The 25,633-nt window shown below is 43.0% G+C and overlaps 1 long non-coding RNA gene and 1 pseudogene across 1 annotated transcript, besides 2 other annotated features; both read right to left on the bottom strand.

Moving 5' to 3' along the window:
- Positions 986–2,064, bottom strand: VTI1BP2 (vesicle transport through interaction with t-SNAREs 1B pseudogene 2; annotated as a pseudogene).
- Positions 1,962–2,462: an enhancer, noted in NCBI's record as "H3K27ac hESC enhancer chr4:184404105-184404605 (GRCh37/hg19 assembly coordinates)". NCBI's record gives its function as "activates a minimal SCP1, AML or CMV promoter by ChIP-STARR-seq in naive H9 embryonic stem cells {active_cell/tissue: H9 hESC(naive)}" and the evidence as "EXISTENCE:reporter gene assay evidence [ECO:0000049][PMID:30033119]".
- Positions 2,463–2,963: an enhancer, noted in NCBI's record as "H3K27ac hESC enhancer chr4:184403604-184404104 (GRCh37/hg19 assembly coordinates)". NCBI's record gives its function as "activates a minimal SCP1, AML or CMV promoter by ChIP-STARR-seq in naive H9 embryonic stem cells {active_cell/tissue: H9 hESC(naive)}" and the evidence as "EXISTENCE:reporter gene assay evidence [ECO:0000049][PMID:30033119]".
- Positions 6,323–12,915, bottom strand: LOC124900823 (uncharacterized). Its single transcript, XR_007058411.1, has 2 exons — positions 12,682–12,915; positions 6,323–6,460 (listed from the first exon to the last, which is right to left on the bottom strand). It is a non-coding gene; the product is annotated as an uncharacterized LOC124900823 (long non-coding RNA).
- Between the last annotated feature and the right edge of the window lie 12,718 nt (positions 12,916–25,633).

The following is a 25,633-nucleotide window of genomic DNA, read 5'->3' as shown; positions in this document are numbered from 1 at the left end:
AACTCCTGACCTCAAGTGATCCTCCTGCCTTGGCCTCCCAAAGTGCTGGGATTATAGGTGTGAGCCACTGCTCCTAGCCCACATTCCGTTCTGTACCATTCCTGGCTCTGTGCCTTGACTCTCTCCATTCCCTTGCTCTTTCTCTATGCCCACTACCCAAAATACAGAAATTTAAAATTTTGTTGGCTGGATACTGTGTCTTTATATTGATAGGCAATTCTTTTCTCTTTTCTTTTTCAATTATTTATATAATTCTTATACATATAATAATATAGATAATTCTTTTTCGATTATATTAGCTAGTGTGTAGAGGTTTATTTATTCATTTATTTGTCAAATTGTTGCAAAAAAATCTTGATAGGATCTTTATTAGTATTGCACCACATTTATAGATTAACTTTGGAGGACTGAACAATTCTACAATGACAAATTGTCCCAACCAAGAGCATGATATTAATATCCATTTATGCAGAAGTTATCTTCTCCTTATTTATATATTTTTCTCTTTAATTTATTTGAATTTTTTTGAAGTAGTACGTGCGCATAGTACATGCAAACAGTAAAAAGGGATATCAATAAAATAAATATAGTTCTGCCCCTGACCTCAGCCCCCGCAGCTTCTCTTCCCAGAGGAAGAGCCAGTTTCTTCCCAAAAGAAGCCAGAGATTTGCTGCGCATATGCAGGCGTTTATGGATGTTATAGGATGTTAGTTGGGACCCTTCCTGTCAAAATTTCAGTAGAGGCAATGAGTCTGTGTATGTTATTTCCAAATAAACCATCATGCAAAAACCTTAGCATAGGTGCATGCGTCTTTTTTTTATTTTTTATTTTGAAACAGAGTCTTGCTGTGTCACCCAGGCTGGAGTGCAGTGGTGCGATCTCGGCTCACTGCAACCTCCACCTCCTGGGTTCAAGTGATTCTCCTGCCTCAGCCTCCCACGTAGTTGGGCTTACAGGCCTGTGCCACCTTGCCCAGCTAGTTTTTGTATTTTTTTAAAAGAAGTCATAAACAGCATTTATTACCTTGGTATATCATACTGGTCTTCTTGCTGTTCCTTCACATTTAAGTGGCTTTCCATCTTTCCTGCCTCCTCCCACAGCCTGGTTACACAGTGCATGCCTGAACTGTTAGCCCTCAGCAGCAATATGCTTATTCCATCCACATCCCTAACCTCATGCATTCACAAGGTGAAAGTTCTGGTCCACAAACCCTTCCCTACAGGAAGTTCAATGGTTGCGAAAGAATCTGTAGTAAACCAGGCCTCCCAGGACGGCGAGCTCCAGTAAGATGATGATGGAAAACAGCAGCTTGTTGGTTGTCACTTTTCTGGACATTGAACGGAGAATCTTTCGACTTTTGCTCAAGTTTTCAGTTGTGTTTATCAGTCTACTCTTGGTGCGTTCTAAATGGTCTCGTTGTTCCCCCAGCTCTTCTATGGTTTCTGAGCCAATCTGGTCAGTCTCCGTGGCAATCTGATGAGAACGTTCAATACTTTGGGTGGCCCGGTTCAGGTTTTCAGGACCTTGCAGAAGCATTGCCCTTTGAGACTGTAGCCGATTCATATGCTCATTCTCTACAGCATATATGTCATATTTCATGTCTCCTCGCCCTCCTGGTGTGGCTGTCAAAGGCGTGCTTCTCACCTCCCGATGGAGTTTGGCAAGGTCCTTCCGGTAGTTTCGAAGCTTAGACGTCATGGTGTTATGGAAAGACAGGGGTGCATAACGTAGCTCCTCCTCCATCCCTGCCAGCATTTCATTTGCTTCCTGTTGCTTTTCATCAAAATCCCTGATCGACTTATTCTCTTCGGTCCCCGCCGTCCCCAGCAGCTGCTCGGGCACCCCTTGTAGGTCTTCGTGGAGGCCGCGGAAGATTTCGTGCAGCTTCTTGAAACGCTCGGAGGAGGCGGCGGAGGTGGCCATGGCGCAGGCCGCGCTCCAGCAGCGGCCACCAAGATTCGGGGCGCTGGGCCCTCTCCTAGCCCAGCGGTCAGCCGCCCAGCCCCGTGGCTATCACAGCGACCGCCGCGCCACCGCTGCCCAGGACGAGGCTCTTCTGGGGCGCTATTTTTTTGTATTTTTAGTAGAGACGGGGTTTCACCATGTTGGTCAGGCTGGTCTCGAACTCCTGACCTCAAGTTATCTGCGTACTCCGGCCTCCTAAAATGCTAGGATTACAGGCATTGAGAGGTGACAGCGTGCTGGCAAGTCCTCACAATCCTCGCTTGCTCTCGGCGCCTCCTCTGCCTGGGCTCCCACTTTGGCGGCACTTGAGGAGCCCTTCAGCCCACCACTGCACTGTGGGAGCCCCTTTCTGGGCTGGCCAAGGCCGGAGCCCGCTCCCTCAGCTTGCAGGGAGGTGTGGAGGGAGAGGCCCGAGCGGGAACCGGGGCTGCGCGCCGCGCTTGCGGGCCAGCTGGAGTTCCGGGTGGGCGTGGGCTTGGCCCTGCCGGCCCCGGGCAATGAGGGGCTTAGCACCCGGGCCAGCGGCTGCGGAGGGTGTACTGGGTCCCCCAGCAGTGCCAGCCCACCGGCGCTGCGCTCGATTTCTCACCGAGTCTTAGCTGCCTTCCTGCGGGGCAGGGCTCGGGACCTGCAGCCCGCCATGCCTGAGCCTCCCACCCCCTCCATGGGCTCCTGTGCAGCCCGAGCCTCCCTGACGAGCTCCACCCCCTGCTCCAGGGCACCCAGTCCCATCGACCACCCAAGGGCTGAGGAGTGCTGCAGGCGCACGGACCCGGGACTGACAGGCAGCTCCACCTGCAGCCCCGGTGGGGGATCCACTGGGTGAAGCCAGCTGGGCTCCTGAGTCTGGTGGGGACTGGAGAATCTTTATGTCTAGCTCAGGGATTGTAAATACACCAATCGGCACTCTGTATCTAGCTCAAGGTTTGTAAACACACCAATCGGCACCCTGTGTCTAGCTCAGGGTTTGTGAGTGCACCAAACGACACTCTGTATCTAGCTACTCTGGTGGGGCCTTGGAGAACCTTTGTGTAGACACTCTGTATCTAACTAATCTGGTGGGGACGTGGAGAACCTTTGTGTCTAGCGCAGGGATTGTAAATGCACCAATCAGTGCCCTGACAAAACAGACCACTCGGCTCTACCAATCAGCAGGACGTGGGTGGGGCCAGATAAGAGAATAAAAGCAGGCTGCCCGAACCAGCATTGGCAACCCGCTGGGGTCCGCTTCCACACTGTGTAGGCTTTGTTCTTTCGCTCTTTGCAATAACTCTTGCTACTGTGCACTCTTTGGGTCTATACTGCTTTTATGAGCTGTAACACTCACCGCGAAGGTCTGCAGCTTCACTCCTGAAGCCAGTGAGACCACGAGCCCACCGGGAGGAACTAACAACTCCAGACGCGCTGCCTTAAGAGCTGTAACACTCACTGCGAAGGTCTGCAGCTTCACTCCTGAGCCAGTGAGACCACGAACCCACCAGAAGAAAGAAACTCCGAACACATCTGAACGTCAGAAGGAACAAACTCCAGACGTGCCACCTTAAGAACTGTAACACTCACCGAGAGGATCTGCGGCTTCATTTTTGAAGGCAGTGAGACCAAGAACCCACCAATTCCGGACCCAGCATGAACCACAGAGCCTGGCCAATAGATGCGTCTTGAGCCCCTAGTCTCCATTAAGTATTTTAAAAGGTAAATAGATAGGGAAGATGACTATAGAGATGGCTGTGCGGTGGAGTCCTCCAGCGAAAGAGGGGGCAGAAAACCTCAGGTTGGGAGGGGAGGACTTAGTGGGACCTTTCAGAAAATCTAATATGTTCACCTGTAATTAAAAAGACAGTGCATTAACCGAATCTCACCTAGAAATCAAGAAAGACAAAGAAGAGATGACTAGCTCCTGAAAAGGCAGGCACGAAGAAGGGGTCGTCGATATTTTGGGATCAGCCTACATTCCTGAGTTTGTTAGGCCCAATGTTGCTTGAGTATTTCCTGCAGATCACATGAAGGCCCCAGAGTCGGGAGCCATTTAAAATCCTGACCAAGAGGCACAATGGGACTCCATGAGAAAAATGTCCATGTGGAGTGGGCCATGGAAAATCCTATTAGTGGTGGAAATGTCAGCAAGAGGAAAATACATTGTCTCAGTCATGGGAAATACACCCATAGATTCCTAGTAGAGGCCTTTGAAGGACAAAAGCATTTACTATAGAAACACTTTTAAACTCCTGCCAGGCCCAAGGAATGAGAAGTCATTTTAGTTTTCAGATTTAAATCCCTAATGATCAACCATATGAACACAGTCCTGTTTAAGAATCATTCTCTAATAGTCATATCAAAGTCTTTTTATGGTAATGTGGAGTATTAGTAACAATAGGGCCAGACGCGGTGGCTCTTGCCTGTAATCTACCACTTTAGGAGGCTGACTCAGGCAGACTGCTTGAGCCCAGGAGTTCGAGACCAGTCTGGGCAACATGGCGAAACTCTGTTTCCACAAAAAATACAATAAAATTAGCCAGGAATGGTAGCTTGCAGCTGTAGTCCCACCTACTCAGGAGGTTGAGGTGGGAAGATCACTTGAGCCCAGGAGGTTAAGGCTACAGTGAGCCATGAGCGTGCCACTGCACTCTAGTCTGGGTGACAGAGTGAGACTCTGTCCCAAAAAACAAACAATAGTCCTCAAAGTCCAAGCCATGGTTTTCTCTACCATGCTGTAAGGTATAGAATTTTTATATTTTTATTTGTTACAGGGTCTGTCTCTGATGCCCAGGCTGGAATGCAGTGGGGCAATCATAGCTCACTGCAGCCCCCAACTCCTGGGCTCAAGCAATCTTTTGCCTTAGCCTTCCAAGTAGCTAGGACTAGAGGCACAGGCCACCACACGTGCAGAATTTTTAAATTTTATGTTGAGATGGGGGCTTCACTATGTTGCCCAGGCGAGTCTCAAACTCCTGGCCTCAATCCATCCTCCCTCTTCAGCTTCCCAAAGTGCTGGGATTACAGGTGTGAGCCACCACACCTGTCAAGTACAAAATGTCGAGGCTGTAGTTGAGAACTTTTTTTGCTCAATACAATAGATCTAAACCTACTATTGAAAGTATGGCTGGGTGCGGTGGCTCACGCCTGTAATCCCAGTACTTTGGGAGGCCAAGGAAGGTGGATCCCTTGAGCCTAGGAGTTCAAGACCAGCCTGGCCAACATGGCGAAACCCCATCTCTACTAAAAATACAAGAATTAGCCAGCCATGGCGGCACATGCCTGTATTCCCAGCTACTTGGGAGGCTGAGGTATGAGAATCATTTGAACCCAGGAGACGGAGGTTGCAGTGAGCCAAGATCATGCCACTGCACTCCAGCTTGGGCAACAGAGCGACTGTCTCAAAAAAAAAAAAAAAAAAGATGTTGACTCTCTTTTGCGATCCCTCTGCAGTCTTCTTCCATGTGGAGCCATGGAGGCCTTCCACCCTATAGGAAACACAAATTTCAGGCCCTTTAATTTGCATAAAGAAATTTCCGGCCGGGTGCGGTAGCTCACACCTGTAATCCCAGCACTTTGGGAGGCCGAGGCGAGTGGATTACCTGAGGTCAGGAGTTCGAGACCATCCTGGCCAACATGGTGAAACGCTGTCTGTACTAAAAATACAAAAATTAGCGGGGCGTGGTGGTGTATGCCTGTAATCCTGGCTACTGGGGAGGCTGCGGCAGGAGAATCGCTTGAACCCAGGAGGTGGAGGTTGCAGTGAGCCAAGATCGTGCCATTGCTCTCCAGCCCGGGAGACAAGAGCGAAACTCTGTCTCAAAAAAAAAGAAAGAAATTTTCATCTTGCCACCTACAAATCTGAAACCTGAAGTGATTGGATCTTTTTTTAATCAATACAGATAATTTCCATGCATTTATTTTTTGAAAAACTTTTGTATTATGGTGATCATTTTTTTGTTGTGGGTTTTTTTTGGGGGTAGAGAGATTATAAAAATGACATTGTTAAGGGTAGAAATTTTCAAAATAGGAACTAAAATGAATATTGAAATTCCACAGTCATAATTCACCATACAAAAATTAAGTACTTATAGTACTGTTTTGTATTTCTTTCTAGTCTTTGTTCATCAGTATCCTTTTCAGAAAACATAATTGAGTTGATAATGTATATACTAAGTTGTATTATTTATAATGGCTAAATAATATCTCATGACCACCTATGTGCTTGTTTTTATGTATTTAGGATTATTTCCTTAACAGAGGCCCCTTAAAGCAGAATTATTGGGTAGAAGCTCTTGCTACATATTAAGAATCGGGCAGATTCTGCTCCTTCCCTTCCCACTTGCTGCCCTGTGAATCATTTGGCAGTATCCACAATGGTAATTGTGTCCTTCTGTGCTTTTATTTTATACTCATTGGGATCTTGTATTTTTCTCAAATTCCTCTTTCAGCTGCAAAATCTTGTGCAAAGCCTGCCAGCTAGCACAATGGGACCCCTGCATATAGCTATGACAGCCCCACCTAAAAGAAAAGAGAAAAACGCAGGACTTACATTTTATCCATCCAGCTCTCTAAATGCATCTCTTTCTAGCAATCTTAGCCACAGAGTTACATATCAGAATTCAGGGACTAAATGTTACCAGTCTTCTACTTTGTGCTAAGTATTTTACATGTTTCATTTTATTGAACCTTCAATAGCTGTTAGATTAAATAGGTCTCATCTTTGTTTTATAGATGCAGAAATTGAGGCACAGATTTAAATAACTTGCACTAACTAATAGGTTCGAGATTTCAATCCAGGTTTGTCTAACTTCAAAGTTCTTTCTCCTACGCCAGTATCCCTTCATAGTTAAAAGAAAACTGTGGTTGGGGGCAATAGCTCACGCCTGTAATCCCAGCATTTTGAGAGGCTGAGGCAGGAGGATTGTTTGAGCTCAGGAGTTTGAGACTAGCCTGAGCAACATAGTGGGACCCCCATCTCTACAAAAAATTTAAAAAAAAAAATTAGCCGGGCATGGTGACATGTATGTGTAGTCCCAGCTACTCGGGAGGCTGAGGCAGAAGGATTGCTTAAGCCAGGGAGATTGAAGCTGCAGTGAGCTCTGATTGCACTGCACTGCAGCCTGGGTGACACAGCAAGATCTTGGGAAAGAAAAGGAAAGAAAAAAGAGAAGAGAAGAGAAAAGTAGAGGAGAGGAGACGAGAGGGAAAAGAAAGGAGGGAAGGAAGGAAGGAAAGGAAGGAAGGAAGGAAAGAAGGAAAAGAGGGAGAGAAGGAAGGAGGGAGGGAGGAAGGGAGGGAACGGAACGGAAGGGAGGGAGGGAGGGAAGGCTGTGAGCAAATGCCCAGTGGATTAAGTTCCCAAATAATATTGTAGGGGAGGAAAAACTTTCCTGTGTTCTCTTAAGCTCAGTGACTGGAGCCTGTGAATTAAACTGGCAAAAGACAAAGGCATACAAACGTATTTGATGTTAATATTTTAATTGTTTTTTATGTGCTCAAAAGCGTTCATACGAAGTAAAGACCCAAAGAAGTGGTTAAACTCGGGGCACTTAAATACCATCTTAAAAAGGGCAACAAAACGTAGAGAAGTGATAAGACCAAGGAGAGGGCAGTGGAGCTTCTAGGGTGGCAAATTCTGGGAAGGTAAAATATGGGGGAAACTCATGGGAAGATAAGGTTAATTCCCGCAGCCGCATCCCGGTACACCTCCATCTCCAGAGATAAAGGCTGTTTTTCCCTTCCTGGTACAAGAGTGGGGGATACTTTCACAAAGGGAAACTTGTGCCCTGCTTTTAGGTAGAAAAGGGGAGGACAGAGAGTGTTTCCTGCACCTGCTATTTCACAGTTGCTTTCAGTTTAAAATAATGCTTTAGCAAAGTGGCATATTTTGGGGTGCCAATTCTGAGCTTCTTATATTTATGGCTTTTTTTTTTTTTTTTTTTTTGAGACAGAGTCTCTCTCTCTCGTCACCCAGGCTGGAGTGCAATGCCACGATCTCGGCTCACTGCAACCTCCGCCTCCTGGGTTCAAGCAATTCTCCTGCCTCAGCCTCCTGAGTAGCTGGGACTATAGGTGCTTGTCACCATGCCTGGCTAACTTTTGTATTTTTACATTTTGTATTTTTAGTAGAGACGGGGTTTCGCCATGTTGGCCAGGCAGGTCTGGAACTCCTGACCTTAGGTGATCCACCTGCCTCGGCCTCTGGAAGTGTTGGGACTGCAGGCGTGAGCCACCACGTCCGGCCTATGGTTGTTCTTTAATGTGCTTCGATAAATAACTCAGATCCAGTTTCCTCTTATTCTTTGCTTTCTTCTATTACATTTTCCTCATGTTCAGGCCACTTATTCCTGAGGTTTTCCCTTTAGCTTTAGCTCTATTGCTGTGAAATTGGAACTTTAGTTGGTAGCATAAAATTATTTTCTAAGAAGATTGCTGTTGATTGCTATTAGTTGCTGTTAATTAATAAAAAGCATTGCTGATTTAGGTTCTGGGTTTTTTTGTTTGTTTGTTTGCTTTTGTTTTTGTTTTTGCTTTTGTTTTGAGATGAAGTCTTGCTCTGTCAGCCAGGCTGGAGTGCAGTGGCATAATCTCAGCTCACTGCAACCTCTGCCTCCCAGGTTCAAGGGATTCTCCTGCCTCAGTCTCCTGAGCAGCTGGGATTACAGGTGCGGGCCACCACACCTGGCTAATTTTTTGTATTTTTAGTAGAGACAGGGTTTCACTGTGTTAGCCAGGTGGTCTCCATCTCCTGACCTCATGATCCGCCTGCCTTGGCCTCCCAAAGTGCTGGGATTACAGGTGAGAGCCACCGCACCTGGCCTGTTTTTAAATTAAGAAGATTCAGGCAAATTGTTTTTGTGTTCCAACAGTAAACAAGCTGATGCAAAAGAAATGACTATTACCAAAATGGATAATCTTTTCTTACATTTTTCCTCATCCTCAGTAGTATTAAATATTCACTATATTATAAATTGCTCAGGCCAATGCCATCTAATTTTAATGTTACCGTTCGTTGCTCCTGGAAACCGACAAAGAAATCAAATCAGAATTTACAAAGACCATGAAAACGAATCATACTCACAAGTGAGACAATATATGATCATGAAAGCTGTGGGAAGAGTGTGCATCATTCAAAGCAGAGAATGGAAAGAAAGGCTGTGCTGGGTTATGGTATATTTATCTGGTTGGTACATGAAAATCTTCACTGAAGAGAATACTAAAAGGCCAAATTTTAAATGGCCAAAGCCAGGGAGCAAATTACTGCCAAACTTAGCAAAAGGGTTTTCAGCCAGTGTTGCCCTTAATGGGGTCTCAGACCACCTCCATCAGAATCACCGTCGGCACTTACTAGAAGTGCATGTTTCTGGACCTCAGCCTAGACCTAACCTGAAATCTCCAAAAATGAGGCCCCGGAACCTACGTTTTAAACAAGTTCTTTCCGGGCCTGGCATGGTGGCTCATGCCTGTAATCCCAGCACTTTGGGAGGCTGAGGCAGGAAGATTGCTTAAGCCCGGGAGTTCGAGACCAGCCCAGGCAACATGGTGAAACCCCATCTCTACAAAAAAAATCCAAAGATTAGCCATGTGTGGTGTGCACCTGTAGTGCTAGCTACTCAGGAGGCTGAGGTGGGAGATTCGTTTGAGCCCAGAAAGCGGCTGCACTCCAGCCTGGGTGACAGAAGGAGACTCTGTCTCAAAAACAAACAAGCAAACTGAGTTCCCTGTGACTCTGTCTCAAAAACAAACAAGCAAACTGAGTTCCCTGTGATTCTTTCACCAAGTGGAGAGCCATGGACGTAGTCTCTGAGCCCCCACCAGTTACTGAAAGAAGTATAGTCACCTTGTAGTCCAACAATTTTTATCTTTCTTAGTGACTAATTGTTGACAAATATTTTCCTTCAAAATTTGCATTCTTGAAATAATCAGGCATGTAAAAATCCTTCTAAAATATTCAATTTGAAATTTGTATTAATGAAATGCTTTCTACCATATTATATGACAGATTTGCAGATAGGAATCTGATACCAAATTCAGCTGAAAAAATCTTCTTCATAAAATGCTAAGACATTCAAACCATTTACTAATCTGTCAGGAAGGCATTTGAAATACAGACAACATGACGTGATTTGCTTCACAGTGAGCTGATAGTTGTTAAGCTGGGTGATGATTATATGAGGATTTGATGTATTATATTATATATGTATATTTGATATACTCCATAATTTCAAAGTTAAAAAAAAAAGCTGCCCACCCAAATGCTTTTAAAGACTCTCTCATTAAGATATGTAATGTACCTGGTATTTGTTATTACTCCCTTTGTTTTGCTAGTGAGTAGGTATTTTGCATTTGTAGTAGAGACAGAGTTTCACCATGTTAGCCAGGCTGGTCTCGAACTCCTGACCTCAAATGATCCGCCCACCTCGGCCTCCCAAAGTGCTGGGATTACAGGCGTGAAAATTAAGAAATTAAGCATATACTAACTGAACGTTTATTGTAATTGTAAAACTCAGTTAAGCCAAATGGCATTTAAAAGCCCCAGGGAATGTTGACAATTGATAAGATATTTGTTATTATTATTATTTTGAAACAGGGTCTTACTCCTTCTCCCAGGCCAGAGTGCAGTGGTGTCATCATGGTTCACTGTAGCCTCCATCTCTTGGGCTCAGGCAATCCTCCCTCCTCAGTCTCCTGAGTAGTTGGGACCACAGGTACGTGCCACTGCACCCAGCTAATTTATCTATTTATTTATTTTATGTATTCTTTATTTTCTGTTTATTGTTGGTACACCCTTGTAGAACACCGGCTAATTAAAAAAAGCTTTTTTTTTTTTTTTTTTTTTTTTTTTTTTGTAGAGATAGGGTCCCACTAGGTTGCCTAGGCTGGTCTCAAACTCCTGGGCTCACACAAGCCTCCTAGGTCAGCCTCCCAAAGTGCTAATCCCAAAGTGAGATTACAGGTGTGAGCCACTGCACCTGGCCAAGATTTTTTTTTTTTTTTGAGACAAGAGTCTCGCTCTATTGCCTAGGCTGGAGTGCAGTGGCTTGATCTCAGCTCACTGCAACCTCCACCTTTCGGGTTCAAGCGATTCTCCTGCCTCAGCCTCCCGAGTAGCTGTGATTACAGGCATGTGCCACTATGCCCAGCTAATTTTTGCATTTTTAGTAGAGACAGAGGTTCACCATGTTGGCCACGCTGGTCTCGAACTCCTGATCTCAAATGATCCGCCCTCCTTGGCCTCCCAAAGTGCTGGGATTACAGGCGTGAGCCACCACACCCTGCCCCAAGATTATTCTTATTCTTATCATTATTATTATTTTTTGAGACGGAGTCTTGCACTGTCACCCGGGCTGGAGTGCAGTAGTGTGATCTCAGCTCACTGCAACCTCTGCCTTCCGGGTTCAAGCAATTCTCCTGCCTTAGCCTCCCAAGTAGCTGGGATTATAGGTGTATACTAAGAAAGTCTTACAGTGTCCATCAACAGATGAGTGGATAAACAAAATGTGGTATGTACATAAAAAGGAATATTAATCAGTCTTAAAGAGGAAGGCAGTTTGGGAGGCCGAGGCGGGCGGATCACCTGAGGTCAGGTGTTCAAGACCAACCTGGCCAACATGGTGAAACCCTGTGTCTACTAAAAATACAAAAATTAGGTGGGCATGGTGGCAGGCACCTATAATCCCAGCTACTCGGGAGGCTGAGGCAGGAGAATCGCTTAAACCCGGGAGGCGGAGGTTGCAGTGAGCTGAGATCGTGCCACTGCACTCCAGCCTGGGCGACAGAGCCAGGATCCATCTCAAAAAAAATAAATAAATAAAAGAGGAGAGAAAGTCAGTTACATGCTATAACATGGATAAACCCTGAAGATATTATGCTAAGGAAAATAAGCCAGTCACAAAAGGACACCTATTGTATGATTCCACTTATTTGGGGGACATAAAGTAGCCAAATTCATAGAGTGCAGAATGATGGTCACCAGGGTGGACAGGGAAGGATGCAATTAGAAGTTATTGTTTAATGGGCCAAGAGCCTTAGCTTGGGAAGATAAAAAGTTCCGGAGATGGATGGTGGTGATGGTTGCACAACAATTTGAATGTATGTAACGCTGCTGAATTATATACTTAAAATGGTAACTTTTGTTATGTATATTTTACCACAATTAAAAAAAATATTGAGTGCCTGTTATGTACTAGTCAGTGTTGAAAAAGACAGTCAGGTGCCTGAGCTCATGGAGCTTCCATTCTGGTGAAGGAAATAGACAATAAGTGAGATAATTATGAAGGAAATAAAGGGGTGATTTCACGACATAGTAACTAGAGAAGGGGATATTTACTCTAGATAGTGGTGTTGGAGATGAGATTTAAGGGATAGGAATGAGCCTCTAAAGGCATTGCAGTTAAAGGATGCAGCAAGGATAAAAGTCCCGAGGAAGGGAAAGACTGTCTGAGGAAGAGAAAAGAGGCCAGGAGGTTGAAGAAGCAGACACACGGCCTGGAATCTTTTGTTGTGCAAAGAAGAGAAGATGGTGGGGTAGATCAAGGGGTTGACAAACTTTTTCTGTAAAGGACCAGATGATAAGTAATTTAGGTTTTTCAGGCCAAGAGAAAAAAAAAGAAGGAAAAATGAAATTTCCATAATGACATTGGTAGGAAAAAAGTCTGACATAGTGTCTATAATTTTGAGAGAGGAGTGGCCAGTAGTGACAATTTTTTGTTCCACTTAGGAAATGATCAGAGGCTCACCTGAACTATTATCCATCCAAAAGTGGGATTCAAAGAAGGAAGAGGGCCTAGAAATGAGAAAGAAGCGAAAAATATGTTTGTTGAAAGGTCAACATGGGTGTTTGGAAGAGGTAATGCTAATGAGGTATTCGTAAAATTGGAGGTAGGCAACTTTGCTTTTGATACCCGTTATCACCATTCCATTGCCCCAGTAAATGTAAATTCCTTAAGTGTTTGGCACATACGATACGACGTCCAATAGATACTTGTTGAATAAGGTAACTTTTTCCTTCTTTTTGATTATTCCCTGAGAAATAAGTGTCCTGGTGCTGCCCCCTGGTGGCTAAAGGATCCCTTCATTGGGAGCCCAAACCCTCCTTGGCAATGCCGTGGGCTGGGAACCATGGCTCTGTTTGACTGTATAGTTCCCCTTCCTCACAAAGGATATTAAGGATGTTAAAGGGTATCAGTGGTATAGATAAGAGAAATACGTTTTTCTTTCTTTTAAATTCTATATTTGATTTTTAAAAACTTTATCCAAGTGGGCGTGAAAGTCTTAATAAAAATGCCTACGAATAAAAGGGTTACATGGACATGTGCAAGAGTAGTTCCTCCTATTTAAAACAAACAATTCCCTTTTAGCCAAACTTCCTTTTTACAAAACCGCTATATTTAGCTTTCCTTTCTTGAGATGAATCTTTCCTTTCCATAAAATTTTGAAACAAAATAAGTAACTGGCTTAAGCCAAAATTGGGATTTAATTTTTTATTTTATTTTATTTATCTATTTAGGGACGGAGTTTGGCTCTTGTTTCTCAGGCTGGAGTGCAGTGGCGCGATCTCGGCTCACTGCAACCTCCGCCTGCTGGGTTCAGGCAATTCTCCTGCCTCAGCCTCCCGAGTAGCTGGGATTACAGGCATGCGCCACTATGCCCGGCTAATTTTGTATTTTTAGCACAGACAGGGTTTCACCATGTTAGTCAGGCTAGTCTCCCACCTACAAAATTATTGTTTCTTGATCTTTTTTGTAGGCCTGTTTAGGCGTAAAATATTACTTTTGAAATTAACAATAAAGAGTAAAATTTGCCTCTTTAAGTGGATACCTGTGCTTATTTTTGGTAGCACAAATACTGGATCCTGGGATGAATTTGGACTAAGCACCTGCAGATTTCCTTTTCAATTGAAATGAGAATTTCTGTCTGTGTTCTTCATGCTTGTTATACTGGAAAAAGTTTGCTTACGTAAGTAAGAAATTGAACATTGTAACAAAATTTTCATTTTAGGCATACGAATAGCAGGATACTCTTCTTTCACAGAAATCCAGAACTCGCCTAGGGAGAGATCAGTGAATCTCATCTTGAATGTACTATCAGACTGCAGTTTACAAAGTTCTTTCTCTCCTCTCAAAGTCAAGTTCTCAAGCTGAGTAGGTTTAAAGGAAAAGTCCCTCCGCTGGTCATTGGTGTTGAAATGGAGAGAAAACGCCCTTTCATTTTGTCCTGAAGTTCTTCCAGAAGGTTTTCAATAAGATGTGAGACTTACTGATGTCTTTCCTTGCTCATAGGGCCAAACGACATTGGAAGCATTTTAAGATTTTTTCAGCATGATTTTTTCAAAAATTCAGTTTCCTTTTAAATCCAAGAATCTCATTACTTGGAGTCAACACGTTTTCTCCTGGGGCCTGCAAGATACTTGTTCAACTAGTTTATGTGATAAAGTATTTGCTAAGTAGGCTAGTTTCTGCTGACATTCTTTATCTTCAAAGCACTAAGAAAAATCTGGCTTTCCATTTTCTTGAAAGTCCTCCTGCAAGTCACCTTTCAGCTCGAACTCTTCCTTTGTTAAGCCACCTGGTTTCTCTGTACTGGGAGATTCATGTACCTTTGTCCAGGTTTTCTTAGTTTTTAAAGCGTACTCAAGTGAACTGGGCTTTTTAAAATGTAGTTTCTCATGTTTGAGAATCACTCAGAACTTTGGTCACTTCACCTCCAAGAGTTTTTTACTTCAATACCTTTCTATAAAGAAAGTAGTGTGTTGTGACTTTGTCAGAATTTTCTTTCTTTACAAGAGGTGAAAATTCTTTTTTTTTTTTTTTTTTTTTTTGAGATGGAGTCTTGCTCTGTCACCCAGGCTGGAGTGCAGTGGTGTAATCTCATCTCACTGCACCTTCTGCCTCCCAGGTTCAAGTGATTCTCCTTCCTTAGCCTCCAGAGTAGCTGAGATTACAGGCGCCCGTCACCACGCCCAGCTAATTTTTGTATTTTTAGTAAAGACAGGTTTTCACCATGTTGGTCAGGCTGGTTTCAAACTCCTGACTTAGGTGATCTGCCCGCCTTGGCCTCCCAAAGTGCTAGGATTATAGACGTGAGCCACCACACCCAGCCAAGAGGTGAAAATTCTTATGGAACCATCCATGCGTGGGACCCTATGGTCCAGATTGTGAGCATGGTTCCTCCAAGACAGAGCTTTTGTTTCCAGGTAGGAAGACAGAACCTTAAATGTGTCTTGGCCTTGAGGTGAATTTTTACAGCAGGAAGGTTTCTTGAGATTCATCATTACTTACAGATCTTCCCAGTGCTACCCAGTGATATTTATTGGTAACGTCTGTTGACTCATCAACCTGAATAAGGAAGCTATTGTTTTCCAGTTCATTACGCAAAATTCTTCAGCATCACAGGAAAGGAATATAAACTTTTTCCTCTGCTCCTTTAGGTTCATTGTCTGGGGCACTGAAGATTAGACTGATGAAAGACAGATTAACAGGAGAAAAGACATACAAATTTTATTTGATCTTAATCTTTATATATAAGGGCCTTCCTGGAAAAGAAGTGAAGAGCCAAATAAGCAGATAGATCTGAGAGCTTATATACCATCTTCAACAAAGAGCAATAAATTGTGGAAAAGTGACAAGACAAAGGACTTTTTTTTAAGAGAGATGGGGTCTTGCTATGTTGCCCAGGTTGGCCTGGAACTCCTGGCTTCAAGCAATCCTCCCACCTCAGTCCTGAGTAGTTGTGACTACAGGTATAGCCACCACACCAGCAGGAAAAGGGTTTTAAGCTTCTAGGGGCTGCCCTCTGTGGGATCATAGACATATGGGGAAAGTAATGGAAGATAAGGGTTAATTTAGTAAGGTTGGTTTGTGCAGGTCCATCTTGGTGCCAACTTTCTGTTTTCTTCATGGTCATAAAATGTCCCTGGGAGAGGAGATTTATGGCAGTTCTCATTTCTCAGGCATTTCTGCTTTTAGTCAGATAGGGAAAGCCCCAGGAAGGTTCTCTTTGCATCTGCTAATTCTCAAATGCCTTCAGCTCAAAATAATTCATATGCCACAGTGGCATATTTTGGGGTAGCATATTCCAATCCTCTTCCACATCATGTGACATGTCATCACTATGTTGAGCTATACTGTTGAAAGTGGAACCTTGTCAACTTCTTATACTGCATCTTATCTTGTCGTTTTACTCACTGTAATTTTACATGCTGGCCTAATGAGATTCTCACCAATGGTGTGACTTTTCCTTTTTTGAGCAATTAGTCCAGCTAGTAAATAAGTTGCTGTAAGCCTTTCCACTGAATGTGATTATCTTTTCTTTTCATTCTTTCTTTCTTTCTTTTTTTTTCTTGCGAGAGCTTTCCCTGTTTGGAATTTCCAATAGTCATTTAAAAAACATCAGCACTTTTACTATTAAATGGCTGTGATTTGTAGGTAGGTTCTTTTCCAATTTTTTGGAGCCACTGCTGTATTTGTAAGATGACACTCAACATATAACAGACTAGGCCAACTTGAATTACCAGACCACCTAAAACTCATCAACAAGTAACTTTGATTGTTACTTTTTGGTGCATCCTTAATCATATTAATGCTGAATCATGAAATGACTCAGAAGGTTGTAATTAGCTTTAATCAGAATTATTCACAGGTATAAGCCTATGAATACTGCTCTTCCATTTAGTATATTTTCCTTAAAAACTGCTACATTTAACCATCAGACTTTAAAAAACACCAACAAACATGAACAGAGGGCATAATAAATATTAGACGAGAATTGCAAGCAAAAGTTAATAAGTAATAATACAGTTCACTTCTACCCTGCACAATCCATGTGTTGCAATGTTTACAGCAGCAAAACAACAGGAATGGGCAGCTGAGTCACAGTGCATTAAAATTCTTCTTTTAGAATGAAACTTTCACTCCAGTTTTCCAACGGCGAGAGCTTATTTACTGCTGTCAGTCATGGCATCCGAGAGGAGATTGGGGGACTGAGGTGATTCGGTATGCAGAGGGTGATGTCTCAGCCCACTGTGGCACATGCATTCTGGAACTCCTCTGTCCCATAGAGACTTCAAACATTTATTGTCCACCCCCCACACTGGAACATAAGGTTTGGTGATGTGCAAAAGCAGGTCATCCCTGTCCACAAACACTTAACGCTTAGTGTACTTGTGTATTTTAAACTTGATTCTTTAAAATGCTACAATTTTCTATCCACAAAGACGGATACTCTGTCAAAGGATTTTGCCTTGCAGATTTTTTCTATGTAAACAGATATATTAGTCTGTTTTCACACTGCTGAAAAAACATACCCAAGACTGGGAAGAAAAAGGCTTAATTGGACTTACAGTTCCACATGGCTGGGGAGGCCTCAGAATCATGGCAGGAGGCAAAAGGCACTTCTTACATGGTGGCGGCAAGAGAAGATGAGGAAGAAGCAAAAGCAGAAACCCCTGATAAACCCATCAGATCTCATGAGACTTATTCATTATCATGAGAATAGCATGGGAAATACCGGTCCCCATGATTCAATTACCTCTCCCTGGGTCCCTCCCACAACATGTGGGAATTCTGGGAGATACAATTCAAGTTGAGATTTGGGTGGGGACACAGCCAAACCATATCATTCTTCCCCTGGCCCCTCCAAATTTCTGTCCTCACATTTCAAAACCAATCATGCCCTCCCAACAACCCCCCAAAGTCTTAACTCATTTCAGCATTAACCCAAAAGTCCACAGTCCAAAGTCTCACCTGAGACAAGGCAAGTCTCTTCCACCTATGAGCCTGTAAAATCAAAAGCAAGCTAGTTACTTTCTAGATACAATGAGGGTATAGGTATCAGATAAATAGAGTCATTCCAAATGGGAGAGACTGGTCAAAACAAAGGGGTTCCTGGGCCCGTGCAAGTCCAAAATCCAGCAGGCAGTCTAATTTTGAAGGTCCAAAATGATCTCCTATGACTCCAAGTCTCACATCCAGGTCACGCTGATGCAAGAGATGGATTCCCATGGTCTTGGACAGCTCCACCCCTGTGGCTTTGCAGGGTACATCCTCCCTCCCAGCTGCTTTCATGGGCTGGCATTGAGTGTCTGTGGCTTTTCCAGGTGCACAGCGCAAGTTGTCAGTAGATCTACCATTCTGGGCCCTGGAGGATGGTGGCTCTCTTTTCACAGCTTTGCTAGGCAGTGCCCCAGGAGGGAGTCTGTGTGGAGGCTCTGACCTCACATTTCCCTTCTGCATTGCCCTAGCGAGGTTCTCCATGAGGACCCCACCACTGCAGCAAACTTTTGCTTGGGCATCTGGGCATTTCCATATATCTTCTGAAATCTAGGCAGAGGTTGCCAAACAATTCTTGACTTCTGTGCACTTGCAGGCTCAACACCATGTGGAAGTTGCCAAGGCTTGGGGCTTCCACCCTCTGAAGCCACAGCCCGAGCTGTGTGTTCGCCCCTTTCAGCCACAGCTGGAGGGGCTGGGACGCACAGCACTGAGTCCCTAGGCTTCACACAGCACAGGGACCCTGGCCCTGGCCCACAAAACCACTTTTTCCTCCAGGGTCTCTGGGCCCGTGATGGGAGGGGCTGCCATGAAGGTCTCTGACATGGCCTGGAGACATTTTTCCCATGGTCTTGGGGATTAATATTAGGCTCCTTGCTACTTACACAAATTTCTGCAGCTGCACTGAATTTCTCCCGAGAAAATTTTTTTTTTTCCTATTGCATAGTCAGGCTGCAAATTTTCTGAACTTTTATGCTCTGCTTCCCTTACAAAACTGAATACCTTTAGCAGTACCCAAGTCACCTCTTGAATACTTTGCTGCTTGGAAATTTCTTCCAGATACCCTAAATCATCTTTCTCAAGTTCAAAGTTCCACAAATCTCTAGGGCAGGGGCAAAATGCTGTCAGTCTCTTTGCTAAAACATAACAAGAGTCACCTTTGCTCCAGTTCCCAACAAGTTCCTTATCTCCATCTGACACCACCTCAGCCTGGATCTTATTGTCTATATCGCTATCAGCATTTTGGAAAAAGCCATTCAACAAGTCTCTAGGAGGTTCCAAACTTTCCCACATTTTCCTGTCTTCTTGTGAGCCCTCCAACCTGTTCCAACCTCTGCTTGTTACCCAGTTCCAAAGTCGCTTCCACATTTTCAGGTATCTTTTCAGCAACACCCCACTCTAATGGTACCAATTTACTGTATTAGTCTGTTTTCATACTGCTGATAAAGACATATCTGAGACTGGGAAGAAAAAGAGGTTTAATTGGACTTACAGTTCCATGTGGGCTGGGGAGGCCTCAGAATCATGGGGGGAGGTGAAATTCACTTCTTACATGGCAGCACCAAGAGAAAATGAGGAAGAAGCAAAAGCGGAAACCCCTGATAAACCCATCAGATCTTGTGAGACTTATTCACTATCACAAAAATAGCAAGGGAAAGACTGGCCTGCATGATTCAATCACCCCCCCTCCGCCGGGTCCCTCTCACAACATGTGGGAATTCCGGGAGATACAATTCACATTAAGATCTCGGTAGGGACACAACCAAAACATATCAGCATAGTAATTGGTATTTTCCTTTAATGGCTTCTGAATTTTGTGTCAAAGTTAGAAAGCACCAGCCCCCACCCCACACCATACTTCAAGATTAATTTGCTCATGTTAGTACTTTCATAGTTTTACACTTTATATTTAAGTCTTTGAATTTATCTTGGTGTAAGTTGGAGAGCAGAGATGGATCTTAATTTCATTTCCAATTTGCTACTTAATTTAGTTTTTGATTAAGCTATCTTTCTCCCACTAGTTCAAAATGCTGCTTTTATCATATTTTATATTCCCTAGAAAATTTGACTGATTTCTGAACTTTCTATTTTCTCCCATTTATCTCCTATCTTGTTATGCTCCACTACTATACAATTTTAACTTTTATGACTCCAAGGGTTAAAATATGTTTTTATTTATAGGGTTAAAATATGTTTTAATATCAGGTAGGGATAATACCCCTTCATTATTCTTTTTTTTTCTGAGTTTTCCTGACTACTTATATTTTTTTTCCTACAAACTTTTGAATCAGCTTATCTAGTATACAAATCCTCTTGGTATTTTTCTTGGGATCATGTTAAAATATAGATAAACAAACATAACTATTACACTTATGAAGTTAATTTTTGTATCTAAGAGCTTTATGTGTTTTCCTGTTTGTTGAAAAATTCCTTCTTGTCCCTTAGTATTTCAATGTTTTCTGCATGCAGATTTTAAATGCTTCTTTATCACTAAATAGTTTATTTTCTGTTGCTATTGTAAATAAGGTCTTCTCTATTATGTCTTCTGGTTGGTTATTTTTATATTCTAAAGCACCAGATTTGTATTGGTATTTGGCATTAATTTCATACCCAGGTACTTGACTGAATTCACTTATTTATTTAGATTTTTAAATTGATTATGGGTGGAAATTCTAGTATACAATTATATCTAAATAACAATGATTTTACCTTCTTTCCAATGTTTAAACATATATTTCTCTCATTGAATTTTTTTTTTTTTAAGACAGAATTTCGCTCTTGTCGCACAGCTGGAGTGCAATGGCAGGCTGGAGTGCAATGGCACCGTCTCAGCTCACTGCAACCTCCACCTCCCAGATTCAAGCAATTCTCCTGCCTCAGCCTCCCAAATAGCTGGGATTATAGGCATCCACCACCATGCCTGGGTAATTTTTGTATTTTAGTAGAGACGGGGTTTCACCATGTTGACCAGGCTGGTTTTCTCTCATTTAATTATATTGCTTTGTAGCAGGATGGGCTGCAGGCAAAACTCCTCAGACACCGGCTGAAAGAGGGAAGAGGCTTTATTTAGCTGGGAACCTTGGCAGACTTGCATCTCAAGAACCAAGCTCCCTGAAGAAAAAATTCCTGGCCTTTTTGAGAGGTGAAGCGAGCTGGACTTCCTGGGTTGAGTGGGGACTTGCAGAACTTTTCTGTCTAGCTAGAGGATTGCAAACGCACCAGTCAGCACTCTGTGTCTAGCTAAAGGATTGTAAACACACCAATCAGCACTGTGTAAAAATGCACCAGTCAGCGCTCTGTGTCTAGCTAAAGGACTGTAGACGCACCAATCAGCACTCTGTAAAAATGCACCAATCAGCACTCTGTGTCTAGCTAAAGGATTGTAAACGCACCAATCAGCACTCTATAAAAGCGCACCAATCAGCGCACTGTGTCTAGCTAAAGGATTGTAAACGCACCAATCAGCATTCTGTGTCTAGCTAAAGGATTGTAAACGCACCAATCAGCACTCTGTAAAAATGCACCAATCAGCACTTGGCATCTAGCTAAAGGATTGTAAGTGCACCAATCAACACTCCGCAAAAACACACCAATCATCACTCTGTGTCTAACTAAGGGATTAAATGCACCAATCAGAACTCTGTAAAAATGCACCAGTCAGCACTCTGTAAAATGGACCAATCAGCACTCTGTAAAATGGACCAATCAGCAGGACATGGGTGGGGACAAATAAGGGAATAAAAGCTGGCCACCCCCCAGCCAGCAGCGGCAACCTGCTCAGGTCCCTTTCCACTCTGTGGAAGCTTTGTTCTTTCGCTTTTCACAGTAAATCTTGCTGCTGCTGACTCTTTGGGTCCACACCACCTTTAAAAGTTGTAACACTCGCTGTGAAGGTCCGCAGCTTCATTCTCGAAGTCAGTGAGACCAAGAATCCACCAGAGGGAACCAAGTCTGGACACACTTTTAAGGGCTTACAACTCTATGGGGGTCTACGTGAAAGATATCCAGCAAGTGATCTATAGGTAATACACGTAGTTAGAGTGGGGGGTTAATCTTTAACCTCAGGCCTGGTCAGTGGCACCGGTTGGTCTTGCCACTGACTTCATTTCTGTTGTTTTTCAGCTTTTACTTCCTCCTTCTCTTCAGGGACAGGAAACAGTAAGAGAAATGGCGTATCTCCTCAGCTTAAGATAGTACTTGCCAGGCAGGGTGGCTCACACCTGTAATCCCAGCACTTTGGGAGGCTGAGGTGGGTGGATCATGAGGACAGGAGTTCAAGACCATCCCGACCAACATGGTGAAAACCCCATCTCTACTAAAAATACAAACATTAGGTGGGCGTGGTGGCACGCGCATGTAATCCCAGCTACTCAGGAGGCTGAGGCAGGAGAATTGCTTGAACCTGGGAGGCGAAGGTTGTAGTGAGCCGAGATCGCGGCATTGCACTCCAGCCTGGGCAACAGAACAAGACTCCATCCCCCCACCAAAAAAAAAGTGCTTATCTTGTCCATAACTTAGCAGGAGTGTTTCAATATTACATCCACGCTGTTTCCATATTAAACAGATTCTTTGTGGTTGAGATAAATATATTTCATTATGCTAACAACGTATTTGTATACTCCTGTTAAGAACTTACATCAAGTATGAATATGGAATTTTTCCAATGTCTTTGATAGCTTTTTTAGACATGAGTAGTTATGTGCTGCATGACGATGTTTTGGTAACAATGGACCATGTATACCGTGGTGGTCCCATAAGATTATAATGGAGCTGAAAAACTCCTATCACCTAGTGCTATCATAGCCATCATAACACAATGCATTACTCACGTGTTTGTGAAGATGTTGGTGTAAAGAAACCTACAGAACTGCCGGTCATCTAAAAGTATAGCACATACAATCATGCACAGCACATAATGAAAGGCTTGATAATAAAGGGATATGTTATTGGCTTATGTATTTACTATCCTATATTTTTCATTGTTATTTTTGAGTGTACTCCTGCTTTGCGGTGTCTCACGCCTGTAATTCTATCACTTGGGGAGGCCAAAGCCGGCGGATCACTTGAGGTCAGAAGTTTGAGCCTGACCTGGCCAACATGGTGAAACTCCGTCTCTATTTAAAATACAAAAATTAGCCAGGTATAGTGGCGAATGCCTGTAGTCCCAGCTACTTGGGAGGCTGTGGCAGGAGAATCGCTTGAACCCAGGAGGTGGAGGTTGCAGTGAGCTGAGATCACACCATTGCACTCCAGCCTGGGCAACAGAGCAAGACTGCATCACAAAAAAAAGGAAAGAAAGCTGTAGAATAGCCTCAGGCAGGACCTTTAGGAGTTATTCCAGAAGAAGGCATGTTATTACAGGAGATGACAAGCTGTAGGAGTGGAAGGCAGTGATACCGATCATCCTGGCCCTGTGTAGGCCTAGGCTAATGTGTGTGTTTGTCTTAGTTTTTAGCAAAAAATGTTTTAAAAGTAAAAACATAAAAAATAAAAATTTTAAAAAACATGAAAAAGCTTATAAATATGTTTGCACAGCTATGCAATGTTTTCATGTTTTAAGCTTTTATTACAAAAAAGTTTAAAAAATTAAACTCGATAAAGTAAGTTACAGTAGCCAAAGGTTAATTTATTATTGAAGAAAGAAAAATTATTGTTTATACATTTAGCATAGCCTGCGTGTACAGTGTTTATAAAGTCTATACCCATGCCCAGTAATGTCCTGGGCCCTCACACTCACTCCCCACTCACTCGCTCACTCACCCAGAGCCACTTCCAGTCCTGCAAGCTCCATCCATGGTGAGTGCTCTGTGAAGGCGTTCGTTCTTTATCTTTTGTACCATATTTTTACTGTACCTTTTCTATGTTTAGCTATATTTAGATATACAAATACTTAGCATTGTATTACAGTTGCTTACAGTATTGAGCACAGTCACATGTTGCACAGGTTTGTAGTCTAGGAGCAGTAGGCCATACCTATAGGCCAGACCATAGATCCTAGGTGTGTAGAAGGCTCTACCATCTAGGTTTGCGTAGGTACATGCTATGATGTTTGCACAATGACAAAATTGCCTGACACATTTCTCAGAGCATATCTCCATCATTAAGTGATACATATCTGTATAGAATTTTTCTTCTTATACCTATTAATAATAACAATATATTTCTGTAGAAATATACTTGGTTCATTAACTAAACACTGGAAATGTTACCTCTTTTTATATGCTCTGAAAAAATTAAAATAAGATATGGGAGTTGTCTTTTCTTTAAAGGTTTTACAGAATTCCTCTGGAACTGCTGGAATTTGAGGGGTCTTTTTTTTGACAATTTCCTATTTATTTTATGGTAATTGATCTGTTTAAATTTTTTTCTCTTCTAAATCGATTGTGGGCCCGGCATGGTGGCTCACGCCTGTAATCCCAGCACTTTGGGAGGCTGAGGCAGGTGGATCACTTGAGGTCAGGAGTTCGAGACCAGCCTGGACAACATGGTGAAACCCTATCTCTGCTAAAAATACAAAAATCAGCCAGGTGTGGTGGCGCACACCTATAATCCCAACTACTTGGGTGGCTGAGCCAGGAGACTCACATGAACCCAGAAGGCGGAGGTTGCAGTGAGCTGAGATGGTGCCACTGCACTCAATCCTGGGCGACAGAAGGAGACTCTGTCTCAAAAAAAAAAAAAATCGATTATGGTAAATGACACTTTTCTAGAAAACAATTTTATTCATTTTTATATGAGATTTCCACTATATTTGTGGTTACTTTCCTCTTATCAGTAATTTTTTTTTTTTGGAGACAGAGTCTCGCTCTGTCTCTCAGGTTGGAGTGCGGTGGCTGATCTCAGCTCACTGCAACCTCTGCCTCCCAGGTTCAAGAGATTCTCCTGCCTCAGCTTCCTGAGTAGCTGGGACTACAGGCATGTACCACCACGCCCGGCTAATTTTTTTGTATTTTTAGTGGAAACGGGGTTGCACCATGTTAGACAGGCTGGTCTCGAACTCCTGACTTCAGGTGATCTGCCCACCTGGGCCTCCCAAAGTGCTGGGATTACAGGCGTGGACCACCACACCCGGCCTCAATAAATTCTTATTTGCGTACTTGTTTTTCTCCTTCATTAGGTTAAGCAATGGCTTGTCCATTTTATTGTTTTTGTTTTGTTTTGTTTTGTTTTGAGACAAGGTCTCGCTCTGTCACCCAGGCTGGAGTACAGTGGAGCAATCACAGCTCACTGCAGCCTCAACTTCCCAGGCTCAAGTAATTCTCCTGCCTCAGCCTCTTGAGTAGCTGGGACTACAGGTATGTGCCACCATACCCAGCTAATTTCTTAAAATATATTTTGTAGAGACAGGATCTCACCATGTTGCCCAAGCTGGTCTTGAACTCCTGGGCTCAGGCAATCCTCCTGCCTCAGCCTCGCAAAGTGCTGGGATTACAGGCATTAGACACTGCACCTCGCCTATATTATTGTTTAAAAAAAGATTTCGAATTTAGTTTCCAGTTCTGTGGATTTAAAAAATTGTTCTATTTCATCAACTTATGATTTTATCATTATTCATTTCTTTATTCTGCTTTCCTTACATTTATTTTTTATTCTTCTAATTTGTATTTTCCTTCTTATTTACTTTGACTCTGTAGCTAAGCTTCATATCCCATACATACAAATATGGAATGTTTTCTATTATTTTTATTTGCTATTTTGCAGTTTCTACTTTGATTTCATCTTGAATTCCAGAGCTGTTAAGAAAGTATTTTAAAGTTTCCAGATGGCAGATAGTTTTTGTTTTGGGTGATGTTATTACATAACTCCTAATTTCGTTGCATTGTGATTGAGATTGTTGTCTGTACGTTTTCATTTTTGTGAATATTCCATGAATACTTGTAAAAACAGACCGTTGCCTTTTTTCAGCAATCATCATTTGATA

The sequence above is a fragment of the Homo sapiens genome, chromosome 4 (assembly GCF_000001405.40).
Source record: "Homo sapiens chromosome 4, GRCh38.p14 Primary Assembly".
Classification (NCBI taxonomy): domain Eukaryota; kingdom Metazoa; phylum Chordata; class Mammalia; order Primates; family Hominidae; genus Homo; species Homo sapiens.
This window is presented reverse-complemented; position numbering and strand designations above follow the sequence as displayed.